The 27333-nt window shown below is 36.5% G+C and overlaps 1 protein-coding gene across 18 annotated transcripts in view; it reads right to left on the bottom strand.

The window, feature by feature from the left end:
• The window catches only part of RYR2 (ryanodine receptor 2), a 791805-nt gene that overhangs the window by 189831 nt on the left and 574641 nt on the right, over positions 1–27333 (bottom strand). For all 18 annotated transcript variants that reach the window (XR_007062490.1, XR_002957299.2, XM_006711802.4 and 15 more), the window contains 11 exons: positions 26672–26872; positions 20288–20393; positions 18354–18497; positions 16078–16351; positions 12617–12731; positions 10448–10580; positions 9166–9269; positions 5666–5801; positions 4957–5143; positions 3156–3261; positions 711–831 (listed from right to left, as the gene is read on the bottom strand). Coding sequence is in view for 16 of the 18 variants with exons in the window: in XM_006711802.4 (XP_006711865.1) it covers positions 711–831; positions 3156–3261; positions 4957–5143; positions 5666–5801; positions 9166–9269; positions 10448–10580; positions 12617–12731; positions 16078–16351; positions 18354–18497; positions 20288–20393; positions 26672–26872 (1627 nt within the window). In the remaining 2 variants the exon portion in view is untranslated. The remainder of the gene's footprint in view (positions 1–710; positions 832–3155; positions 3262–4956; positions 5144–5665; positions 5802–9165; positions 9270–10447; positions 10581–12616; positions 12732–16077; positions 16352–18353; positions 18498–20287; positions 20394–26671; positions 26873–27333) is intronic.

Below are 27333 nucleotides of genomic sequence, written 5' to 3'. Positions count from 1 at the left end.
TAATAGAAAAGCATTACAAGAAAGTGACAATGAAAACTATCAAAATGCATAACTAAGGAACTAAGGTCAAGAAAGACAGAAGAGCTTGCGACCAATGACACAAGGCAGGACATAAGACAATGGAGGGTAGCAGTGCATGTTTCTGCTTCTCTGGAAGCTGTCTGAAATGTCATATAAAAGAAAATTAAAATCCCAAAGCAAACACAGCTTTAAAAACAATGAGCTTTAAAAACAATGGAAAAAAGTCTGGATGCGGTGGCTCACACCTGTAATCCCAGCACTTTGGGAGGCCAAGGCAGGCGGATCACGAGGTCAGGAGATCGAGACCATCCTGGCTAACACGGTGAAACCCCATCTCTACTTAAAATACAAAAAAAATTAGCCGGGCATGGTGACGGGCGCCTGTAGTCCCAGCTACTTGGGAGGCTGAGGCAGGAGAATTGCTTGAACCCGGGAGGCGGAGCTTGCAGTGAGCCAAGATTGTGCCACTGCACTCCAGCCTGGGCTACAGAGCAAGGCTCTAATTCAAAAAAAAAAAGGAAAAAATTATAAAATATATACTTTACAGCTTTTTTAAAAAAACTAATTTAAGTAGTATACACATAATTTAGGAAGTGGAGAGGTTGGGATGTTGAGTACGGAAAACATTCTTTAGAACATGATGTCATCCAACATCCTACTGAATTAGGACAAATTGAAGTTGGCCTTACCTTTGGCTATTGTTGGCATCTGAAAAGCGATGCTGATAACGCCCACCAAATCTCCCAGGGGAATGAGGGATCTCAAAATGGACCTAATTCTGATGGCTTCTCCCTTCCCGGCATGAATCAACTATACAGGGGAAAAAAAAACATTAGAACAACTTTGTGACATCAATGTTACAATTCTGTCTAGGAAATCTGAAGTATTGGAATCCAAGTCCAAAATAATTTTCTGATCAGTGTATACATAAAGTTATGCCTCTCTCAGAAATAGTTTTCTGGCTTACCTGCGAATATTTACTTGCTCAAACAGTTTTCAGTGATTTCAGCATACACCAAGTTATTTATACTATGGTCTAGGCCAGTTGGTTCATCCATTAGAATAATAGTTTTTATCCTTTTGGGGACTGTTAAGATATACTGAGAATCTGACGTGTTTATGAAAGTTTACTTTCCAAAATTACATGTAAATACCTATCAATAACATGAGCAATAATACAAAGAAAATTATCATTAGACTCTGAACATATACTAATATTTATGACCAAATTAGCTTCTTTCTTGCTTTGTGCTAAGAAATGAATTGCATATCCATCTGTCTTCGACCCTGATTTCTCCCAAGGCTGGATATATAATGTGGAGGAAATGACGAACATAAATCCTAACAGTTCTTTTAGACTGACATGAAGTATCCAGGATGACTGTGGATGAACATACGGTCAAGAATCTCAGCAAGTCTTCAGGACAGACTAGGTCTGAAGAGCCGGGATGGGCATCTGTTTACCTCATTACAGGGCGTGAAACTCAAGCACAATTTCTGGCACACAGGAGGCCTCAAATAATAGTTGTGAAGATGCATAAATTTCAGAAATGCCAAGGTTGGTCCCCTATTCCTTCACTTAGTTTTCCCCCATTAATATAATAGAATGAAAACTTCTATTTATTAGTATACTTTCTCTTTGTTTCGCTGATGTTTTTTTCTGAGATGGGAAAAATAACAAATATTGTGAGCAAGTATTTTTGTTGTTGTTGTCAGTAATCACCTCCAGCACAGAAATTTTTAATAGTCTCTGTTTCCATTTACTAAGATGAAAGAATCTTACTAGCAGCAAAGTTTAAGTTTTTATAAAAATCAGACTCCAGTTTTCTAACATTCTAACATTTCTCTATCCTGTGACTCCTCTTTGTTCACAACAAAAGAGTACATCAAGGAAGTTTTAACCTCTGGGTATGAAAAACCTAAACCACACAAAAAACCCAACCAAAACCAAAAGAAATATAGATAATAAGGGTAGAGAAAAAGGTGCTTTGTAAGAAAGCCCTGGCTTCATGCTCATCCCACTTTAGAAATATACTTACAGTTCTTAACTACCCCAGCACCAATCAATGTGTTTCAAACTCTCAAACTCTGGGTTTGTTTCCCATTAAAAGATCTGGAAATGAATGTTTTGGGCCCTGGGCCAGGATTTTTTTTTAAATGAATATAATAGAATAACACAGAATCAACTACAATAAAATAAAGAACAAAATATCAGAATGTATTACAGAGTAAAAGTATTATTCCACGAAACTTTAATTTCATTTGGGTCAAAAAGTTTCAGAAAATACTAATCTAGGCTGGGTACGCTGGCTCACGCCTGTAAGCCCAGCACTTTGGGAGGCCGAGGCAGTTGGATCACTTGAGGTTAGGAGTTCCAGGCCAGCCTGGCCAACATGGCAAAACCCCGTCTCTACTAAAAATACAAAAATTAGTTGGGCGTGGTGGCATGTGCCTGTAGTCCCAGCTACTCAGGAGGCTGAGGCAGGAGAATCACTTGAACCTGGGAGGCATAGATTGCAGTGAGCTGAGATCATGCCACTGCACTCTAGCCTGGGAGACAGAGCAAGACCTTGCCTCAATTAAAAAAAAAAAGAGAGAAAAGAAAGAAAAAGAAAGAAAGAAAGAAAGAAAGAAAGAAAGAAAGAAAGAAAGAAAGAAAGAAAGACAGACAGACACTAATTTATATGGTCTAAATAGCTCTTAATATCCACCCCCTATACCTTCCCTCTCACTTTCCCCTAAAACGATGGCAAACACATAGAGCTAAATACACAAAAGAAAATGACTTTTGGTAGGAGCAGTTGTTTTCTGGATGCACTGTAACATAAGAGGAAATTGCATAGAGAAAATATGTTCTTTTCTTCTTAAAATGTGGGAGGCTGTATGAGTTTCAGAGATATATGAGTAACTTAAGTACTCTATTAATGACTTGCACTGAAATCCCATTACTAATTTTTACAACCAACGAGACATTTCCAACTAAACAAACACTTGTTCAGTGATTAGACTGCAGCTATTATTTTTAATGGAGCATGAAGATTATTGGTTTTGGATGCTGTTATGCTCTTTGACAGCTATAGATGTCTTAACACAGAGAAATCAGGATTGCTGCTCCTGAACTCCCAGAAACTCACATGCATCTCAGGAGCACAGCGTCCCAAGAGGTCAATCAAAGCTGAATAGAAGGTCATGATCGCGTTCCCCATGTGGATAGTGTCATCTTCCTCCTCCTCTGTGTCACTTTCATGAATGTTTCAAAAGAAAGAGAAAGCAAATGGGATAACTGACATTTCATGTTTATTACATATCTCTCCGAGGAAAGGGACTACTAGGTAACACATTATTTTTCTGATATGTTTCATATATGTTATAATGTAGAGCTTGACGTTTTTAAGGGAGAATAACAACTGGTTAAAGATCAGACTTGAGATTCTAACACCAAGAACACATCTGTGGAAATTTTAGTATTAAGATTCCTTTGAGGGGAAAAGGAGGAACTGCTTATTTGATGGCTTCTTTTCCTTCCTAGTGGTAGTGAGTGCATTAACAAAGAAAATAACTGATCAAAGGACGTGTGAGCTTAGACTATTTCTGTAAGTGGCACACATGTAGAGAAAGGGTGACAAAGATGGCATACAAGGTCACATGTAAGGCATCCAGTACAGTGCTTGCCCAGAGCAAGTACTTTATAAATGTTATTGCACTTGCTCACCTACCTCTGTACCAACTACTCAACCTCCTGCAACCCCTGCCAAAGAATCCAACATATCTCAACATATCTCCCTCCCCATCTCTGCAGGGAAAATATAATTACATGTTCTCTTGCTGATGAGAGCCAAATCTGGATGGCCCTAGAGGCTCACATCCTCCCTCCTTGGTAACTCAGCAGACAGCTGTCTCCACTGAATACAGCAGTCTGCAGAGTGACAGTGAGGCTTTGAATGACAGCCTCATTCCTGGGCATGCAAGGGTGTCCGTGAGGCCCTCAGGTGTACCCTTGCTAGTGTGGTCCTGGGCCAGAGGTCTCTGGATACATTTTCTACTACTGAGAGAACCTAAGAGCTCCCTGGTTCCTTCATGGGAAACTGATAAGCATGTAGCATGGTGTGTGTGTGTGTGGTGGGGAGTGCTCATTCTTGCTCTAGGAGTGCTCCCAGTCTGCAAATCCGGCTATGGTGTACATGGAACATCTATGCCCAGTTTATATGTAAAAGACAAAGGGTTTGCAGGATTGCGTGCCCTCTAACTCTTTTTTTTCTTTAGAAATGTGCCTCAATAAAGCCCTATGTTACATCTTTACCAGAGGCACTAGCAGTGTGGATGCATGACCCCGCTGGAGGACATTCACCTACACAGATAAGCATCACACCTGGATTTACTTATGTCGATGACTGGACTCTAGTATTAACAACGTATACCTACAGATAAATGTAAGATAGTGACTGCTTCTCGTATCTGTCTTCTGTACCTCAACAAAGCATCACACTCCTCAGAATGAAACCTTTTCTAGGTTTTACCACCATAACAGTTTAGTCAAGTCCCCCTTTCATTTGCGAAAGGTCTCTTTCTAATCATAAAATCTCATTCTAACTACCTTCCCACTAAACTCCAGTCTAACCCCAAAGGTTCACTTCGTATCATTTACAACAACCCACCTTGCCCTAGCTCCCCTAGGAAAATTCATAAGATGCATCTTCTACAACCTAAATTTCCCTCTGCTAAATCTACACCATCTTCTTCAGCTCTCTTTGTTCATTCGACCTATTCCAGCACCAAATTCCATTCATTCTTCCAAATCTAAGACATTATATTTTCAAAGGGAGAAATCTTCTGTACCACAAGTTATATTACAATTCATAGGATGCAGAATATATTTTATAAAATTTCACATCAAGTAGTATGGATCACTCGTGAGGGTGTGTATATTAGACCTACAGTGTTTTACTGGATCCGCTATTTGGTGAGGGACCATCTCGGGAAGGATCCTCGGCGATTTTGATGGCTTCTTCCATTGCTGCAAGAAGCCCATTCCCACCTTCTCCTCTCAAAGCAGGACCAAAACACTCAGGCCTCCGAATGAGCAATCTCACCACGACATTTGCATTTTCCTCCACACTCTCCCCTAAAGTAGAATGGGGAAGATAAGTAAACAAATATGATTATATGGAAGTTCTGAACAAATAAATGTTATACTAATCATTTCCTATGTATAAGAATAACTAAAACCCAACAATATACTAATAAAGCCAAAATGTAATCCTAATTGCTAGCATTAAGTATATGAGACACAGTAAATTTTGCTTGCATTAAAAATTTTCAGAGTAAAGCATTATGGAGGCATAAACTATTGATTCTCACTAACTTGTTATTATTATAGAATGATGTCATAATCCAAACTATTATTAGAATTCAAAATAAAAAATTTAGGAGAACTTAGATGCCTAAAAATTTTAATTTAAATAAGGAAAGAAGTATGTAAACAAATATTGTATTATAAGTGGTTACTGTGAAAAACCCCTATCGATTATAAAATATGTGATTTCTTTACTAATACTTCCTTCATGAAAGTGCTGAGATGAATCCTTATTATATCTCTATGCAGTTTTAATGATAACTCAAAAGACCTCAAGAAATCAAGTCCTACCATTACAGAAGACAGCAAATCTAAGAAAGTCAAGATATCTCTCTCCTTCAACTGGGTTCCACCCAATGTCTGGATAGCCCTTAGACACCAGCATCTGGCAACTTTGCAGTCCACAACCAGCCAAATAACGAACTACCTGCAAACAACATGATTAACAAAGAGTTATCCCTTGGCTGAAAACTCATTAGATGCTTACATTGGATACAATAAATGACATCCTTAAAGGATGCTTTTAAACAAATGCATTTTTGCAAATTCTTTTTGCTCTCATGATAATCTACTTGAACTCCCTTTAGTAAAACCTTAGACTTTAGAAATATTTAAATATCGTCATAAAATGGCATCATAATAAAAATATTTATGATCCTACTATAAGCTTTTTTTTTTTCAGCTCTCTCTAAGCAGACATTCTTTTTAATAAATGCCACAAACATATCTGCCCAGGGCTCAAGACTCACGGACTAGAACCAGTTGCTGTTTTATTTGCACCATCTCCTTAAACACTTTGGAGACAATAAAGCAGCAGCCTCAGCCCGCGGTGCCTTCTGTTTTCATCTACCCACAATCACCCACAGTGCCTGCTGTATAAATCCACCCGCAATTCCTTGTCAGACAGGGCAACCAAGTCTGTCTGGGTGGGCCAAGAGCTGCAGGATTATGTGTAAAACTACGAAAGAAGAATGTTTCTGAATTTAATAGCATTTAACTTGAGACCCTTATCTATCAAAGTCATAAATTGCAAACATGTCTAATGACCTCTGGTGCAATGTAAAAACTGAATCCACTCAAGATATTAAAAGATCTATATGAGATGCAAAGATATTTTAAAGAGAAATTGTTTCCAAAATGATATATCAATTTAATGGGGAAGCAGGTGTGAGAAAATACGTAGAGAAAAACCTAAGATCACAGTCAAACATCCTTGGTTCAAATCAGACACACAGCATTTAGCAAACACCTTATTTTGAGCAGTTACTTTTACTTTTTTAGCCAAGGTTTCAGTGTTCAGGAAATTTTTGATAAGATGACCCACTTTTCAGTATTGATGAAATTAGCACATAACATATTTTTGCCTGGCCTTTCCTCTTAAAATATTTTTGTTTTATACGAATGTTAGTCCTCTACAATATTTCACAAGAAATTCAATTTTAAAAGAAATCCTTAGAAAAGTCATTATCAATGGAAGTAAGACTGACAGAGGAGCAACTTATCAAGCAAATTGAGTTATATCCAGCTTAAGTTAAATCAGTTTCAAATATAAATAATAATATAGCTAAAAATGTTTTATATCAACTATAGTGAAGCAAGAGAACCAATGTGCAATAAACTCATCTCTTTGAAGTATAAATTCAATGAGCTTTGAGAGATGTAGACATCTGTGAGAACACACCATAATCAAGACGCAGAACATGGCCGTCACTCCTCAGAGCTCCCTGGGCCCTTTGCAGTCCCTTTCTCCCCACACACCTAGTCCCAGACAATCGGTTTTCTCTCACTACAATTTAGCTTGCATTTTCTAGGACACTTGTACACATAACCATGCAGCATATATCTTTCTGTGCCTGGCTTCTTTCGCTCAGCATATGATTTTGGGATTCATTCACACTGTAGCATATGTCAGCAATTCATTCTTTTTTATTGTGGGATGACATTTCACCGTATATGGGTATATCACAGTGTTATTTATCAACTAATACATTGATGGTCGGTATTCAAGTTGTTTGCACTTTTTGGCTATGACGAATAAAGCTGTTAGAAACATTCATGCCCAAGTCTTTGTGTGGACATATATTTTCCTTTCTACTGGGTAAATTGTTAGCAGTGGAAAGGCTAGGCATATAGTTTATGGTAGGTGTATGTTTAATTTGTTAAGGAACTGCCAAACTGCTTTCCACACTGGCTGTACCATTACTCATCACAACAGAAGTAGAAGAGAGTTCTAGCTGCTCCTTGTCCTTCTCAGCATTTGGTATTATCAACTGCATTAGTATTGGCCATTTTAATGAGTGTGTAGATTAAAAGATTTTAAGTACTATACGGGGGAAACATGTCCTGAGGTGTCTCAGAGATGCAAGACTTCATGATCCTGGACTGGTATGTCAGGAGGATTTGGGGAAGAGTTTCACTCTTTCATGTCTTCAACAGCCATGCACTAAGTGTCTACCCAGTGCTGACACTGTTCTCTAAAGGCAGGACAAAGCAGTTAACAACAGAGGAAAAACCACTCTGACCTCCCTGGCTTGACATTATAGTAGGGGATGAATTTTTAAAAATACATAACTACATAGAGTTTGATTAAATATATTTATTTTACATACAATTATCTTAATATATATTTAAAATATAAGTTTCTATAAATATAAATAAAATGAAAGTATATATTTGTGTACAGAATATACAAATATTTACATTTCCAATAGTTGAAAATAAAGCAGTAAAGGAAACAGGAAGAGTTTAAGGAAGTGGAGAAAAGGTTTCAGTTTTACACAGCATGGATGTGGAAGAGCTGATCAAGAGGGTGACTTTGGAGCATTGACTGAAAGAATGCCTACAAAGAGCCACGATGGTATCTTGGGTAAGGATACTGCAGATGGTTGGACTAGCAGGTGCAGAGGCCCTGAGGCTGAGCACAGTTGGCGTGTTCCAGCTACAGCAAGGGGACAAGGGTGGCTGAAGCAAAGAAGAGAGAGTGCGGGAAAGCTGTAGGAGATGAAATCAGGCTGGTATGTAGGAACAGATGATGTAGGAGCTATTGCAACATCTTTGATTTTTACTGGGAGTGAGATAGAAAGCCTTTGGGGAGTACTGGATGGAGGATTGGCATGATCTTTTTAAGAGGGTCACTTTGGCTGATAAGGGAAGAACAGATGCCAGGTGAGCAAGGAAAAAAAATCAGGTGACTACTTGGAATGCTATTGCAACTACAATACAGGGAAAGTTTCTCTAAATGCTGGTAATACACATGTGTGGCTTAGTATCCTTAGAGTGCACGGCTTTACTATATCGCTGATGCTTTGTGCTGGAATAAAGTATATGTGATATAAAATGTACATATGAGATGTCAAAATAACCTTTTTAAAAACTGAAGTGTATGATTAAGTCAAAAGTGGCAGCAGATATCACGAAAAGAAAAAAACACATAAGAATACAGATACAGAACGTTGGTTCTCCTTCCATAGAAAAATGTTTCTCATCAGAGAAAATTCATTTTTTCAAATGTATTGTTCTTCATAACTTCTAACTACAATATAATGTATAGTAGAATTATATACAATGTAATATATAACATTATATAGTGTGCAATGTAAATTATAATGTACTTTAATTCTAATAGCACTAGAACATATTGTGTTGGTGCAAAATTAATTGCGGTTTTGGCCATAATGTCACATTGCAAAACCACAATGACTTCTGCACCAACCTTACTTATATTTAAAATATTGAGAAAACCGTGAAAAAGCATAATTCAGACAAACACACAGGGCAGGAACATTGCTCACCTTTTCTAGATCCGGCTCACGCAGAGCTAATGCTAGTTCATTATTATCCATCACCGAAGCTGCAGCCACATCCAGTGGTGTTGAACCTCTCATAGCTGGGGAGGCTATTAATTCAAATGAAGATGAAATATAACCTGGATCGTGCTGTAACTATAAACTCCATACAAAAATATACTACCTCTTAAAATTTAATTTCTAAACACCATCCATAGTGTATTAATCTACATTGATTTACATTAAAGTTTAATTTTACGTATTTTGAATTGACAAATAAAAATTGTATATATTGTGTACATGTTTTGAAATATATGTATACTTTGTGGAATGACTCAATTGAGCTAGTTAACATACATATTACCTCACATACACTTTTGTGTGGTGAAAACACTCAAAATCTACTCTGGCAGCGATTTTCAAGAATATTATACATTGTTATTAACTATAGTCACCATGCTGTATAATAGAGCTTTTGAACTTATTCCTTCTATCTAACTGAAATTTTGTATCCTTGAACATCTCCCCAACCACTCCCCCCTACACCTGGTAACCTCATTCTACTCTCTGTTTCTATGAGTTCGACTTTGATTTTAGAGTCCACATGAAAGTGAGATCATGTGGTTTTTGTCTTTCTACACGTAGCTTATTTCATGTAATGTAATATCCTCCAGGTTCATCCATGTTGTTGAAAATGACAGGATTCCCTCTTTTTTTAAGGCCAAACAGCATTCCATTGTGAATATGTACCACATTTTTCCTATCCATTCATCCACTGATGAACACTTAGGTTGATTCCATATCTCAGCTATTGTGAATAATGCTGCAATGACCATGGAAGTACACGTATCTCTTCGACATACTGATTATTCATTTCCCTTGGATATATATACCCAGAAGTAAAACTGTTAGATCATATGGTAGTTCTATTTTTAATTTTTTGAGGAATCTCCTTAATGTTTTCTAAAATGGCTGTGTTTACATTCCCACCAACATGTATAAGGGTTCCCTTTTCCCCACACCCTCGCCAACACTTATTATGTTTTGTCTTTTCAATAATAGGCATTCTAACAGGTGTGAGGTGATAGCTCACTGTGGTTTCAATTTGCACTTTGCTGATGATGAGTGATGTCGAGTATTTTTTCATATACCTATTGGCCAACTATCTGTCTTCTTTTGTGAAATGTCTATTCAGGTCCATTGCACATTTTTTAACAAAACGTTTGCTTTTTAAATGTAATATTATATTATTTCAACCTTAAAGATGAAATAAAAGTCATTTACTTACCAAGACCAACACTGCTGTTTTCCAGTAAATAACTGAGATGATCAAACATAGCTTTTTGATTCTGCCTACTTATACGACAGAAGTAACAGAGAAAACGGCAACAGTTGGCCACCATCTTGGGAAAGGTGATTTCCTACAGATAAAGCATGTCATTAGCTGCTGAAAGCAAACGACCTTTATAAAATTGAGTTCATACGTTGAGGTCTCAATCACATCGTCAATCCCCGTGTGTCCATGTGTGTGCCAAACTTCAGATACCAAAGATCTTCAAATGTGCAGACTACGATTTGCCTCGTCCCTGAGTCAATGAAAATCAAGCCTGGCACTAATTCAGAAACTTCATTACCATGGATGGGTTAGAACAGAAATTGACTTATTACTGCATTCTCAAAGGTGAAAGGCAGATTCATTTGTGATGCCTCACTACCGCTATCAGCTGTGCTTCCATGGGAAATGATGCAATCTCTTTGATTCTGTTAGAATAATATGGATAATAATACTTGCTTTAGGTAAGGGGCAGGGGAGTGAATTCATTGAGCTGATTTCTGAAAAATATATAGTTCAGTACGTGGCACATATAATAGGATGTTCTTATCAGTATTAATATTAGTAGAATTACTGATTCCAGGGATTTACAACCTCCCTGATTTGCACCTCATGAGATGATTTCCTGGACTGGAAGGCCTGCATGTTTGACCCCACCAAACACATCTTCCTTGAGACCAAATATTATCATAGTTTACCCCAGATACTCTCTGGAGTTCTTCTGTAATAAAGTACAGTATATTATGATATCCTTCTAAGCCTGTCTAACTGGTAAACAGACTGATCATATGAAATATGGGCTTATTTCAGTATTGTGAAAAATACATCCTAAGATTTAAAATATCAAAACATATTTTCATATCAGAGGTTATAAAATTATACTGATTATATAAAGTTTTTTTTTATTATACTATTCTACTAATTTGGTTTTTGATACCATTAAGTTGTGGTCACTTAAAAGTTCACTTTAGGCCCAGTGTGGTGGCTCACGCCTGTAATCCCAGCACTTTGGGAGGCCAAGGCAGGAAGATCATGAGGTCAGGAGATCAAGACCATCCTGGCTAACATGGCGAAACCCCATTTCTACTAAAAATACCAAAAAAATTAGCAGGGAATGGTGGTGGGCGCCTGTAGTCCCAGCCACTCGGCAGGCTGAGGAAGGAGAATGTAGTGAACCTGGGAGGCGGAGGTTGCAGTGAGCTGAGATCACGCCACTGCACTCCAGCCTGGGCAAGAGACTGAGACTCCGTCTCAAAAAAAAAAAAAAAAAAAAAAAGAATTCACTTTAGAATTCTACAACAAATACATCCAAGAGTATTATCATCAAATCTCAATCTGGATTGGAAATTAAGTGAAACCAACCAATGTCTGTGTCATGGAGGATGGTGGAGTCTGAAGAACATGCTTGTGCCATGGACTGGTAACGTGATGAGAACTGAATTATAATTCAAAATTTTAAAATAAATTAACACATAGAGTAATTTTTATGTTTCTAAGTTTCTAAATATCCCCTAAATGAGATACTTCAGTTTCTAAATATCCCCTAAAAGAGAATAATTTAGGAGGCCAAAAATTACACAGTATAAGACAGGAAATTTTTATCAAAATCAAGGAAAAAAAAACTAGTAGTACGTTCAACTCCCTAAGGTTTGTGTGTTTTTTTCAAAAAGTCTTCTTTAAAAACAGTCATCCTAAGAGGATTTAAGAAATTCTCATTAAGAATCTACAATCTGGGCTGGGCGCGGTGGCTCACGCCTGTAATCCCAGCACTTCGGGAGGGGAGGCCAAGGCGGGCGGATCACGAGGTCAGGAGATCGAGACCATCCTGGCTAACACAGTGAAACCCCGTCTCTACTAAAAACACAAAAAAATTAGCCGGGCGAGGTGGCGGGCGCCTCTAATCCCAGCTCCTCGGGAGGCTGAGGCAGGAGAATGGCGTGAACCCGGGAGGCGGAGCTTGCAGTGAGCCGAGATCGTGCACTGCACTCCAGCCTGGGCGACAGAGTGAGCCTCTGTCTCCAAAAAAAAAAAAAAAAAAAAAAAAAAAAAAAATCTGCATTCTATATCAATCTATATACTCCAGGAGATGATACTAAATAGCATCTCAGGAATCAAAGACGTTACCTTGGACTCTCCACCTCCAAGGACGTTCACCATGACCTCCATCACAGTCTCGTGCATCCCCAGTGCCCTCATGAGATTAGGGTGCTGGTAAAACACTTTGTTATTCATAATATCCCTAGAAAGGACAATGGACGTATGGGGTAAAGCTCAGAGCAACATCTAAATAGTTAACCAAGTTCCTCATAAATCTTTTAGAAATAATTTATGTGAGTTGAAAAGTAAAAGCAATCACAGTATTTAATAAGCCACAAAAATTAATGAATGTAATTGTTTTCCTCAAAAATATTGATAATTTACCAAAATTGGTTGACGAATGTCTATTCTTTTCCATTGTAATAAACATAGTAAAAATGTAAACAGTTAAAATGAAATATACTTTGGACACATCATTCCTAATTTTATGGATATCCAACCATGTGTCCAACCTTCTTCTGGATAAAAATATGAATTAGTGTTATACCATGTTTATATAAAAATTCTTCATATATAAGTATCTCTGCTTTTCATATATATGCTGTTGCTAGTATTTATATATGCTGTTGTTAGTATTACATTCAGTATTTGTGTATATTATTACAATAGTGTTATTTCTTATTGCATTCATATTATCATTCTGACAAATACTTAAAAGGATTCATATTCTCCAAGAGAAACTGAGTATACATGAAGTCCAGGTACAAGTAATCTAACTCATTAAAACGGACATCCAGTTTCAAGAAACGGTGTTAGGTGATACCTAAAATGTCTCGTATTATCATTACTGCATTACATATTCTTGTAATATGTGTGTCAAGGTATTCCTAAGGGTCATAATGTTCAGGAGAAAGTATCATTCACTGCAAATAAAGAGCTCTGTTGATTTCTATTTTAACATAAATCAAATCGATGCCAAGAGTCTTTTCTATAAAACATTTTCTTGTTAGATCTAGAGCAAGAATAGAACATACAGCCTATGAGAAAATTGAAACTTCTCTTCAAATTAGTTTCCTTTAACTGAATTACTCACCTATTCATTTAGTCATATGCAAAACTTTAGTTACTCTGGCTATATCAAGAAAGTGGGATAGTATGATTTTTGCATTTATTATTTTTAATGAACAGGGCTTTTAGATAGCATAGGTCAGAAAAAAAACTTGATGCCCAAGGCTAATATGGGTCTGACTTATTTCATGCCAGAACAAACTAAGGTAAACAAGGGCAGCTTTTTCTTTTTATTGTCTCATTAATTCAAATCTTTGAATGAAGTAACTTGATTTTAAAATCTCATTTGCTTTTAGTTTTAGGTAAATTAAATAGCAGTCAGGCTGTCATTTACTAAGAATCTCTCTGTGTTAAATATTTTGAATACCACAAAAAGAAGCATTTTGCTTTTTAACATCATTTTGAGTTTTATCACTAATGAATGATTTACTTTTTAATGGCACATATTACTGTTGTGTGTTAAGAAAGAATATGATCTCCATTTTCTGGAAGGCTTTCTTTTTCATTTGGTTAATTAAGATAACCTCTTATGAGAGGCTTCCTCGGGTTAGATTTAAATATTAGTACTCAAATAAGACCTATGCTCATACAATTATAAAGACTCTAATATTTGCTTTTCTCAATTGGCTTTTTTGCTTTCCCTCTCTGTCCCATTAGTATATTTATTTTTAGTGTGCAACAATTATGAATTTTTAATAGAACCTTTCATCCATTTTTATAATTTTAAATACTTAATAGGTCCATGAGCAATATGCAATATTGTTTTCTGAGTTAAAATGTATAGAAATGATATGAAACAGTCTGTATCATTATACACTTGTTTTCTTCCCTCAGGATTGTATTTGAGTTCTGTCAAAGAAAAACTTGGTATTCCATTTTATTCGTTTTTTTCAAAGAATTAACTCTAAGTTTCTTTGATCAATTTTATTGTTTCTTTTGGTCTATTTTATTCATGTAGCAGTTACCTTTATTATCTCCTCTTTTGCCTGATATCTATGTAACTACATCAGCTTTTTTTTCTGCTAAATATTTGTCTTCTAATCACTGTTTAACATCCTATCTTCCAGAATTCTACATTTTTATGTTTAGGTATTGTTCTTAATGAACATCATAGAGCTTAATATAATTTTTATCTTTGTTATGATTTTGATTCCATCTTATTTTTTCTTTAATTATTTTTAAAAATATTTTAAATATTTAGGGGGTGCAAATACAGATTTCCTGCGTGCATATATTGTGTCGTGGTGGAGCCTGGGCTTTTGCTGTACCACAAAAAAACAGCCTGGGCTTTGGTTGTACCATCACCTGAGTAGCGAACACTACTCAATAGGCAATTTTTCCATCTTATTTTCAAATCCCCGAACTATATAAGCTTATTATTAATGATTGCTTAGATTTATACATGTATAAATCAGTAGTATACTCAAAAAAACGTGTTGCATCCCATTCTTTTTCTCTGAATTCCGTTTTCTTCTCCCTAATGTATATATTAACATTTAGCATAAAAATTTTAGAAGGTCTTCCAATGAGGGACTGTAAGTAAATATTCTGAAATATCTTTGTTTTATCCTCACTCTTGAATATGGGGTGTTAACTTTAACCCCCAAATCCACATGAAATGCAAGCTCATGATGCTGAATTCTCAGAAAATTTGTTCCCCCTACCCCTTCTTTTTCCAAGGCCCAATAGATAAAGACAAGCTTCCTTATCATTTCCTGTTCATATTTCCAACTACCCACCTTGGATTTCAATGTGTTTTTTTATTTTTTTAATGTATTAAACACCACACAGACCTATGGATCAATGTGTTTTTACTGTCCTATGTTTTTATATATTATTGTACATTACTATGAGACTTAAAAAAAAACACTGAAAGATATTGGCTGTGTGCCACACTGTAAAATTAGTCTTGTTTCATTACTGAGCAACTTTCTAACTTAGCTTTTGTTTCTATCTCTAAAATGTGGCACATATACACCATGGAATACTATGCAGCCATAAAAAATGATGAGTTCATGTCCTTTGTAGGGACATGGATGAAATTGGAAATCATCATTCTCAGTAAACTATCGCAAGAACAAAAAACCAAACACCGCATATTCTCACTCATAGGTGGGAATTGAACAATGTGAACACATGGACACAGGAAGGGGAACATCAGACTCTGGGGACTGTTGTGGGGTGGGGGGAGGGGGGAGGGATAGCATTAGGAGATATACCTAATGCTAAATGACGAGTTAGTGGGTGCAGCGCACCAGCATGGCACATGTATACATATGTAACTAACCTGCACATTGTGCACATGTACCATAAAACTTAAAGTATGATAATAATAAATAAAAAAAAGAAAAGCTATTTAGTATAATAATCGTATAATCCAGACAATATATTTTTATCAATGTAGTTAATGTACTGCTCTATAGGTATAACAATTAGAAAACATTTACGAGACAAAGGGTTGTAGTAGTTAAATAATTTACCCTAATCCACGAATCATGAGCTTCTCTTCTTCTTTGCCCATTCTCACACTCAGCAGGGACCGAATCTGACCAAGGGATGCCAGCAGGTTGATGGTGTCCTCCACGGACACACCATTTATCGTGTAGGTCTTTGGCAGGGCCCGAACAAGACCCCCAATGCCGTCATACTGCCGATGGAGCAACACAAACATGGCCCTCACCAGCTCGGGGTCTTCAATGACAGACTCCTGAGCCCATCGGACCATGGTCTCAGAAATCAGCTGCTGCAGAGTGGCTGCAAAGTCATTATGGATATTTTTTAAAAGAAAAATAAGAGAAGACAAATCAGTTGGACATTTCAAGTCCATATCCTGTACCCCCAAATTGGTATTTCTATTTGTACCAGGCTTGAAAAGGCTCTAGATATTCTTTGAAGAAAATAACCTTCATTGGATGATACATATTTCAATACAGATCAGTTACAATCATGCAAAGATAAAAAACACAAACCTTTCTTTAAAAATCATTCTTATAATTAAATAAGCTACAGTTATATCACTTTTTCAAAATTACCATTGGCAATTCATATGTAATTGAAGGTATGGCAATTAATATAAGGTGTCCTACTACTTTTATTTGTTTTGTTCTATTATTTTCTTCCCAGAAGGCCTGACATCATTTATCCTTATAAAGTTCGGTCACGGACATTCAAAAAGGTATGCTTATCCAACTGTCTCCTCAGTTGAGTCATTTGCACTAGTGACTACGTATAATTATGTTTTCACTTAAAGTTGTATCCATATTTGTCATTTAAAATGTCTTCAAAAGGATTTGATTGTGAATTTATATTAAAGCGAAAAGTTACTACATACACAGAAAATTACTTTGCAATGTAACATGAAACATAGTAAATGTAAAAGCAATAGAAAAGTCCAAATCTTTTCAAATAAACAGTGAAATTACCAAAATTAAGTGGGGTGACCAATTTATGCACGATGAGGCACTTAATCCTAGTATTAATATGCTGGCTGACTTTCAAATTAGGCTGTTTTACTTTCATCTAGAAATTATTTAAGCAAAAACAAAAACTACCATTTTTAACCAAATACAAAATGCAAATAAAATGCCAATATATTCCCCTATATCTGAAAACCACACTGTCATTTTAACCACTCAAGATCATAAACTTGATAATAATAGAAAGTGATTCATAAGAAACGTTGAACTCTGGCCATGCACAGTGGCTCACTCCTATAATCCCAGCACTTGGGAATCTGAGGTGGATGGATTGCTTGAGACCAGGAGTTCAACACCAGCCTGGCCATCATGGTAAAACTCAGTCTCTACTAAAAATATAAAAACTAATCAGGCGTCTTGGTGCATGCCTGTAATTCCAGCTACTCAGGAGGCTGAGACAGGGAAGCAGAGGTTGCAGTAAGCCGAAAATGCACCACTGCACTCCAGCCTGGGTGATGGAGCGAGACTGTCTCAAAAAAAAAAAAAAAAAAAAAAAAAAAAAAAGAAAAAGAAAAAGAAAAAGAAAAGAAAGAAACACTGAACTCTGATTTTAAAGAAAACTTGACTCAAATTTGTGATTGTGACACTGAAAAATAAATTTAGAAGTAACTGTATGAATAAAGGTTTTCTGTTGTAAGTCAAAAAAAAGTGCTGTAAAAGTTTTCGTAAGTTTATTTTTTTTTATTTCAGGGAAAGCTATTAACAAACCATTGCTGCATCTTAAAATCAATACAGTCTTAGAAGTGAAGTAAAAAGTAGGCTGGATCCCTCAGACCTACTCAGAGTGCTGTGCCCAAGGCACTCACAGCCCAAGGGTGCTTATTATTCTGAAATAGGATATGGATCAACCAGAAGTATACAACAGTTGAGGAAATATTTCAGAACCAAAATATAAAGACAATATCTGTTTAAATTTTAAGAAAAAAGTTTAATTTGATGCAATAATATTTGAAAATCGACCTCATATTTAGATATGAAGGCTAAATTACTATACTTCCTTTTAACTTTCTCTTTATGGTCTCTGATAAAATACCTAAATTTCTAGTTCTCTATGGAGACCATCCATCTTTATCATGCTGCTACCTCTCAGTCTGTTGCTATACACATAGACTGATGCTGCTGTTTATTTCTGGGAGCTACAGGCATCTACTTAAGAGTCTGATTCTTGGAAGTTGCAAACTCAATTATCTCACTGGCTCATCCAGTAAAACATTCGTTCAAAGGATGAGTTAAGTGTCAGCAGTTGGGTCATTCTGCCAGTGCACTCTCATACTGCTTACAGGACTTTTTGGAGTCACTCTCAACTGGTTTTTCTGCTTGCTTCTTCTTCAGATATGTCACCTTTTCTACCAGGGATAGCAGACGCCCTCTAATTGTTAAATCACTGTTTCCATCCAGAGACCCATCTTCATCCAGCTCAATTCCTAGTATAAAAAAACAGAGAGGCAGAAAAAAATATTTAAAGAATACACTTGGGCAAATAATTCTGAGGCCTTGTAATTTCTTTCATGCACAACTTAGAACAATGTCAAAAACATCTAACATTAAGTTAAGCAATGTTGCTTACCAGCCCTCATAAATAACATTCACTGGTCAGCCTCTTTTCTTCCTCTCTCTTTTTGTTCTATTCCTGTGGGCTCAGGGCTGTCACCCAGAACAAAATATAACACTGAGTAGAGACCAAAAAGACTCTCTTAGGGGCAAAGATCAATTCTGCTATTTGGGCTAACCCTTGGGCATCTCGGACTTCAGATACTGTCTGCCTAGACTTACAGTCCAGCCCTGCCTACACCATGCCCCACAGACTTTAATTCTCCTCTCTTGCCTCCAAAAATTTTAGCAGTATTTTGGTTAGTTGAGAAACAGAGAGAACAGGCATAATTAGGTACCCTAAACCAGGGAATGCTTTATATCTGAAGCAGTAATTCTAAAGTTTTAAAGTATCCCTGTATTTGTAGGGATACTAGAATTCTAGTATCCCTGTATTTGTAGGGATACTAGAAATACAGGGATACTTGTAGAAAAAAAAAAATATATATATACACACACATACATACACATTTCTACAAGGGATATTTGTAGAAATATATATATATACACACACATACATGTACACACACATGTAGTATAATTTTCTGGGAGTCATTTAGTGGTACTTCATTCATAAACCAAATTAATATGCAAAGTGGTGTTTTTATTATCTTCATTAAAATAAGATAACCACCGGTTAAACCAGTGGCATTATTTTTATCTATAACTTTAAAAACAGCTGGTTCATTTTCTTTCATTGAATCATCAGACCTTATCCACACCACTGCATAAAGGAATAAAAACACACACACGTCCAGAATACCTAATCAATTCCATTTTTAAAGTTCTTAGAATAAAAGGAGGGGAGACTTCCCTTAACAGATTTGGATTACTGACATAACAACTTAATGTAGGGTTTCCATAGGCATTCACTAATTTCAAAAGATATAGTCTACATTTTCTAGAAAGTACACCCTCAACTGCTTTAAATACAACTGTTTGTGATCAAATTTCTTTCTTACATGAGGAAAAAACAGCTTCATTGAGGTTACTATAAACAAAACTGTACATATTTTATCTATGCAATATGAGCTTGGACACATGCATCCATCTGTGAAACCATCACCACCACCAGGAACAGACATAAATCCATCACCTCTAAGTTTCTTAGCACTTCTTTGTTTTGGGGGGTTTTGTTTGTTTGTTGTTGTTTTAAGAATACTTAACATGACATCTACCCTCTTAACAGAATTTTAAGTGCACAATACAGTATTGTGAACTAGAAGCACCCTGTTGTGCCATGGATCTCCAGAATTCATTCATCTTGTATAACCGAAACTTTGTACCCATTGACTAAACCAACCTTAACCTCCCTGCCAGAGGCACCTGGCCACATGTCCCCCTTCCCATTTCCTGCCACTAATGGAAAGAGGAAAAAGAGAGAAAGAATTTTGGTCATCTTCTGCTCAGTTTAACTGCCTCTCTGATTTCTCTATCCCTCAGGACTCCCCACATAGGGACAGTTATTTTGCCATTTTGCCATAATAATAAATGTTTTTATATAACTTTCTAACAGGTATCGTGTGTATTCGTGAAAATATTCGCATATACACTTAATTTCGTCTCAGGATATATGGATTAAAAACATACAATTAATAAAAGCTTTTAATCAAAAAGACCTTACCACAATGTGTCATCAAATCTTCATGGAAATCCAATAGTTGGTCACGAATTTCTTCTGGACATGGACATTCACTTTTGTCATCCTTAAAATTGAGAAGCATATTGATCTGAAAGTTTGAAAAACAAGAAAGAGGAAGAAGGAGGAAGAAAAGAAAGGTGAATTCAAGAATGGCACAGCAGGGCCGGGCGGAGTGGCTCATGCCTGTAATCCCAGCACTCTGGGAGGCTGAGGTGGGCAGATCACGAGGTCAGGATTTTGAGACCAGCCTGGCCAACATGGTGAAAACCCATCTCTACTAAAGATACAAAAATTAGTTGGGTGTGGTGGTGCATGCCTGTAGTCCCAGCTACTCAGGAGGCTGAGGCAGTAGAATTGTTTGAACCTGGGAGGTGGAGGTTGCAGTGAGCCGAGATTGTGCCACTACACTCCAGCCTGGGCGGCGACACAGTGAGACTTTGTCTCAAAAAAAAAAAAAAAAAAAAAAAAAGAAAGAAAGAAAGAAAGAAAGAAACAAAGAAAGGCACAACTACCACAAAAGCAAAAATGCTCAAAATCTCTGATTGTTCATAAATTATTCCTCCACAGGTGTCCATCACACAATCCAACCAGTACCGCAGAATAAATCAAATCATCCATAGCTTAACAAGCTGCAAAATAGTCATATAACGTTTCTTCCTCTTTCTCAAGTCCACAATATGTCAGACTCTTGTATACTTTAAGAATTCATAACTAAGAGATCTAAATGCTATTTTTAAAAAGTATTGTATCATGCTTATCCTAAATTTCCATTATTTTCTAGCTAACATCTCTATTGAACATTCATTGAATATTTACAAGAACTCTTTTTGAGAAGAACACAGACACAAATAAGAAGGAAAAATATAATTGAAAAGTAACACAGGTTTGAGTATCCCTTATCTGAAATGCTTGGGGCCGGAAGTGTTTCAGATCTAGGATTTCTTTTTCAGAGTTTGGAATACAATCATCCTTTAGTATCCATGGAGTATTGGTTCCAGGACCCTCCATAGAGATGAAAAGCCACAGACAATCAAGTCTTCTATATGAAATGGCACAGAAATTGCATATAACCTATGTATATCCTCTCATATATTTTAAATCATCTCTAAATTACTTATAATACCCAAGGCAGTGCTGACATATCACTTCATTTAAGTGGATTAGACATAGTACTTGGTGCACAGCAAATTCAAGTTTTGTGCTTTGGAACTTTGTGGAATTTTTCTGAATATTTTCAATATACAGTTGGTTGAATCCATAGATGCAGAACCCACAGATAGAGAGGACCAGCTCCATCTGCATACACATGAGCTATTTTGAGAATAGAACCCAAGTCTAAAAATGAAATTCATCTATGTTTCATACACACCTTACACACATAGCCTGAAGGAAATTTTATAAAATATTTTAAATAATTTTGTGCATGAAATAAACTTTGTACTAAGTATTTACGTGTAGAATTTTCCACTTGTGGTATCATTTCAGTGCTCAAAATGTTTTGGATTTTGGAGTATTCTGGGTTTTGAATTTTCATATTCGGCATGGTTAATCTTTATAAGGGATAACTACGCGCTGCTAACATTAATGGTTCAGTTAAACTGCGGGAAACTTTACCATTTATGTTTGAACAATACTATTAAATTTATAAATTCGGAAGAGAAAGATGCTTTCCCATAATTTTCCTTTAAGAAACTATTTTAGATTTTCTTTTTGGCATTTATGTGATTTTTTTTCCCTAAACGTTTATTTTGATATAATTATAGACTTATATGCTATTGTAAGAAATAATACAGAGAGACTTCAAGTACGCTTTATGCAGTTTCCCGATTGGTAACACTTTGCAAAACTGTAGTACAATCTCATAACCAGGATAGCAACATTAGTGCAGTCAAAATAGAGGATAATTCCTTTATCTCAAAGATCCCTCCTGTTACCTTTTCATGAGCACACCCACATCCCTCTGTCTGCCCCTCATCCTTAAGTCGTGGCAACCACAAATTTGTTTTCCATCTCTATGGTTTTGTCATTGCAAGAATGTTACATAAATGGAATCATATAGTATGTATGCATGTATTCCCATACGATCCTTTAAAACATATTTAATTGGTAAATATTAATTGTATGTATTTATGAGGTACCATGTGATGTTTCGATATATGTATACATTGTAGAAAGATTAAATCAAGATAATTAACATATTCATCAGCTCATCTACTTATCGTTATTTCAAAGGTGAGAAGAAAAAAATCCCATGTTATCACCTGACGTCAGCAGGGTGTGCCATGATAAGTAGTTTCATTCCTGGTATGGGTAATTTGTATCTTCTCTTTTTCTTTTTCAGTTGTTTTAGAGGTTTGTCAACTTTATTGCTATTTTTTAAAAACCAGCTTTTGGATCCATTTTTTCTATTGTCCTGTTTTCAGTTTCATTACTTTCTGTTATTATCTACATTAGTGACTTCTTTCTGCTTGCTTTAGGTTTATTTTACTCTTTGTTTTCAAAATTCTTGAAGTGGCAGGTCAGGTTATTGATCTGAGTGGTTTCCGCTTTTTAAATGTAAGCATTGAGTGTTAGAAATTTCCCTCTTGGCCTTGCTTTAGCTGTGGCAAAAATTTTCAAATGTGATGTGTCCAATTTCTTTTAGTTTAATGAATCTTTAAATTTCTCCCCATACTTCCTCAAACCATAGATTATTTAGAAGTGTGTTGTTTAGTATCTCTAAGAGTTTGGAGATTTTCCAGTTACCTTTCTGTTACTGCTTTCTAATTTGATAACAATGTGATAAAAAAATGTGTATGATTTCAACTTTTAAAAATGTCTTGAGGTTATTTTATGGCCCAGGATATGTTCCATCTTAGCAAATGTTTCATGAACACTTGAAAAGAGTGTGTACCTTGTCGTTGGGTGGAGTAGTCTACAAACCTTGGTAGATCTATTATTTGATGATAGTGTGGAGTTTTTCCGTGTCATAGCTGATTTTTCTGTTCAGCTGTTCTATCAACTGAGAGAGGAGTCTTGAATTCTGCAAGATAATTTTGGATTTGTCTATTTCTCCTTTCAGTTCTATCAGTTTTGGCTTCACATATTTTGCTTTGTTGTTTAATTCATATATATTTATCTTCTTGGTGGACTGACCATTATGTATGATCCTTATCTCCTTGGTAATTTTCTGTGCTCTGAAGTCAACTTTATGTAACATAGCTACTCCTGCTTTATTTTGATTAATATTTTAATAATACATATTCCTTTAACTTTTCCCTTTTAATCTGTATACATTATTATATTTGAAGTGAGTTTCTCATAGCAAGCATATAGTTAGATTGAGTTTTATAAATTCACTCTGCCAATTTCTTGTAATTGGTATATTTAGATTATTGATATGCTATGACTTCAGTCTGTCATTTCACCTGTGGTTCCGTTTGTTCTGATTTATTTTTACTGACTTGCTATGCTATGCATTACTTGAACAATATTTAGAATCCTATTTTATCTGTGGTACTTCTCAGTGTATCTCTTTGTACAGCTTTTCTAGTGCTTGCTCTGAGTATTATTTTATATACATACCTAACATACAGTCTACTGGTATTGACGGTGCACCAGATGGTACAATGTCAACACCAGTAGACTTCAGTTTGAGTGAAGGATAGAAACCTTATCTCCCTTTCTGTTCCTTTATTCTCCTCTGTTTATAATTTTTAAATATTCCCTATACATATATTTAGAAACACATCAGTTTTATGATTTTTGCTTCAACCATCAATCATAAATTAGAAAACTCCAGAGAATAAAAATGCACTGCATTCACCATATTACAACATTACCCAGTGTTAATTTCTTCCTTTCTGAATTTTCCAAATTTCCTTCATTTTTCATTTTCCTTATATTTAAAGAACTTCCTTTAGCATTCTTTTAGGGTAGGTCTGCTGTAGTCAAATTCTTACAACTTCCTGTCATTTGAGAATGTCTTGATTTCCCCTTCGTTCCTTAAGAGTATTTTCAAAGTACATAGAACTCTGAGGTGATCGTCTCTTCTTTCAGCATTTGAAAATTGCTGTGCCACTTCCTTCTGCCCTCCATACTTTCTAATGAGAAATCTGCTGTCACTCAAATTGTTTCTCCCCCTGTAGGTAGTGTCATTTCTTTAAAGACTCCGTCTTTAATTTTTTCAGAAATTTGACTATGATGTGTCTCGGTAAAGATTTATGTTTATCCTATACGGAATGTACTCATCTTCTTGAATCTCTCACTTCATATCTTTTACTGAACTTGAAAAGTTTTCAGCATTATTTTCTTCAGTTCACCCTCTTTCTCCTATCCTCTGAGACTCCAACATCACAAATGTTAGATCTTTTGTTATATTCATCTTCATCTTTTCTTCAGATGGGGTAGTTGATATCACCCTCTCTTCAGTTCACTGATTGTTCCTTCTTCTCCCTTCATTCTGCTTTTAAGCCTATTCATTGAGTTTTAAAATTTCAGTGATTATATTTTTCAGATTTAAAATTTCCATTTGGTTCTTTGCCATATATTTTGTTTCTCTGCCGTTGAGGCTTTCTATTTCTTTTCCATTTTGAAGGAATTACAGGGCGATTGCTTTCAAAACTTCATCAGATAATTTTAACATCTTTGTTATCTCAGTGTTGGTGCTTATTGATTGGTTTTTTCATTCAAGTTTTCCTTGGTTCTTCACACACATGATTTTTAATTGAAATCTCAACATTTTGAGGATTATGCTAGGAGCTCTGGGTCTTATTTTTAACTCTGTTTCACCTGGTTTCCTCTGACCCCATCCAGCAGGAGAAGGGCTTAGGGTATCTTATTGCTGCCAGGTGGGAGGCGAAGTCCATTTTCCCACTCAGCCTTCTTGGACATCTGGAGGAGGGAAGGGACCCTGTTACTGTTGGGCAGTGGTAAAAAGTTCTGGTTCCTCATTAGACCTGTACTGATGTGAACCTTGCTAGAAAGGTAAGAGTGTCTTGCTACTTCTCCTTCCATAACCTCTACTGATACTTTGGAAGAAATGGGCCTTGTTACTACTCAGCGGGGATAAAGTCCCAGCTCTGTCCTCTACTGGGACACCTTGTTACAGCCTGGTGAGAGTGGAAGTCAAGGTTCCCCACTCAGCCTGTGCCCAGTGTGGGTGGGGAACAGTTTTTTCTGTGGTTTTTGGCTTCAGTAGTGCAGTTATTATCTAACACATTTCTGTCTTGCTAAGCTGCCCCTTCCCTGATCCTTTATCTAGAAAGAGGAGGCTTTTGTTGCAGCTTTTCTTGTCTATGCCCATTGGTGTTTCCTGGTTGTCGTCTTCTTTAGCTTCAAATCTGGGATAGATGAGGCAAAAAGAAAATCCAGGGAACTCACCACCATGTTGTTCCTTGGGTCCTGAGTTCTGTAGCCAACCTCTCTTCTTCTCTCTATCTTTCAGAGCCTTCTTATGTTGTCTTCTTTGTAATGTCCAGGGTTTTAGTTGTACTTAAAAGGAAGAATCGGGAAAAGCACATGTACTCCATCTTTCCAGAAGCAGAAGTTTCCCAACAGTAGTTTAACAGAGTTAATCTGGAAGAGGCTGGACCTGTTCTCTGCTCAATAAATGCTGTTTATAACAATTAAGAAAATTCCACATCCCTTTCCTCAAAGAAATTACATTCTGGTGAGAAAAAAAAAAATTCTGTAATTAGTCCCTATAAACACTTTCATTCTGAGCTACCCTGGATAGAGAAGAAAATGGTAAGGGTAAGAAATCAAAAAAGACATCTGTGAATTACATTGTTTAACACCATCCCTACGCCAGTAACTTCCCACACTCTGAGGCCCACTCTGAGGTAGATTCCAGAAAATTTACATCCCCCAACTAGCCCATTCTCTGATATAGGCAGGTTCCCTTTGTTCTGTTGTACCCTCAGGAGACCTGACTTTGGGGGTAAGCAATGAAAGGAAGAAACCACAAGCAGGTAATCAGTCTTCCGGCAAGCAAGGTGGAAGAGACATGTGTTTCTTCTATGGTAGGCACAAATGGAAAGCCTCTAGCATCGAGTCCTAGGAATCAAAAATTCCTATGAGTGGAAGATGATGAAGACCCATTTGTGGTTGAAATTTGCTCCTATTTGAAGAACTTCAGACTCTGGCATATCTTGGCCTTCTCAAAGAGTCGGTGATATACCTGATATCTTCTAATAAGTCCCTCTTTTGTGTAAACTAACCAAAGAAATTCTTTTGGTGAAACTAAGAATACTAACTAAATCAACTTGAAGACTTTAAACAGAACAAGGAAAACAAGACGTGTGAGTTATATAATTTTGCAAGGCAGAGATCCTGAATGACTAAAAGCCAACATAAATACGAAGAATTTTCATTTCATTTCTGTACCTGTTCTTGAGGTGGTGATCTAAATTCCTTTGTCTTCCTGGCTGTGAGTGCAGCTGACATGTTTAAGGCTTGCATGACTTCGTTGTATCGGAAACGTTGATTGTCTTGGAGCTTAGCCACAAAATCATCTGAAAAGGCTACAATGGCTTCTATCCGGTGCCGGACCTGGCAGTCACAGAGGTACTGAAGCAGTAGGCACATCTAAGAGACCATTAAAAAGACACCAAATTTAATTTCTAAATCCTTTAATAATGTGTATGAAATCATAATCTGTGGTAAACATCCTTAGTTGCCTACTCTTCTCTCTTAGAAACAGAATCCTGATTTTGTATAGGCAGCAATGTGCTCGGTCCCAGGAGATGAAACATAATTTGTATAAGCAAAAATGGCAAACAAATGTCCCTTTAGTGGATGTTAACTGATATGGTCTGGTTCTTTCCCCATGAAATCTCACCTTGAATTGTAATAACCCCCACATGTCAAGGGCGGGGCTGGGTGGAGATAACTGAATCATGAGGGTGTCTTCCCCCATGCTGTTCTCGTGGTAGTGAATAAGTCTCACAAGATCTGATGGTTTTATAAATGGAAGTTCCCCTGCACATGCCCTCTTGCCTGCCACCATGTAAGATGTGACTTTGCTCCTCATTTGCCTTTCGCCAGGA

This window comes from Homo sapiens, chromosome 1 (assembly GCF_000001405.40).
Source record: "Homo sapiens chromosome 1, GRCh38.p14 Primary Assembly".
Lineage (NCBI taxonomy): Eukaryota > Metazoa > Chordata > Mammalia > Primates > Hominidae > Homo > Homo sapiens.
The sequence above is the reverse complement of the archived record's forward strand: the minus strand, read 5'-3'. Positions and strand labels throughout refer to the sequence as shown.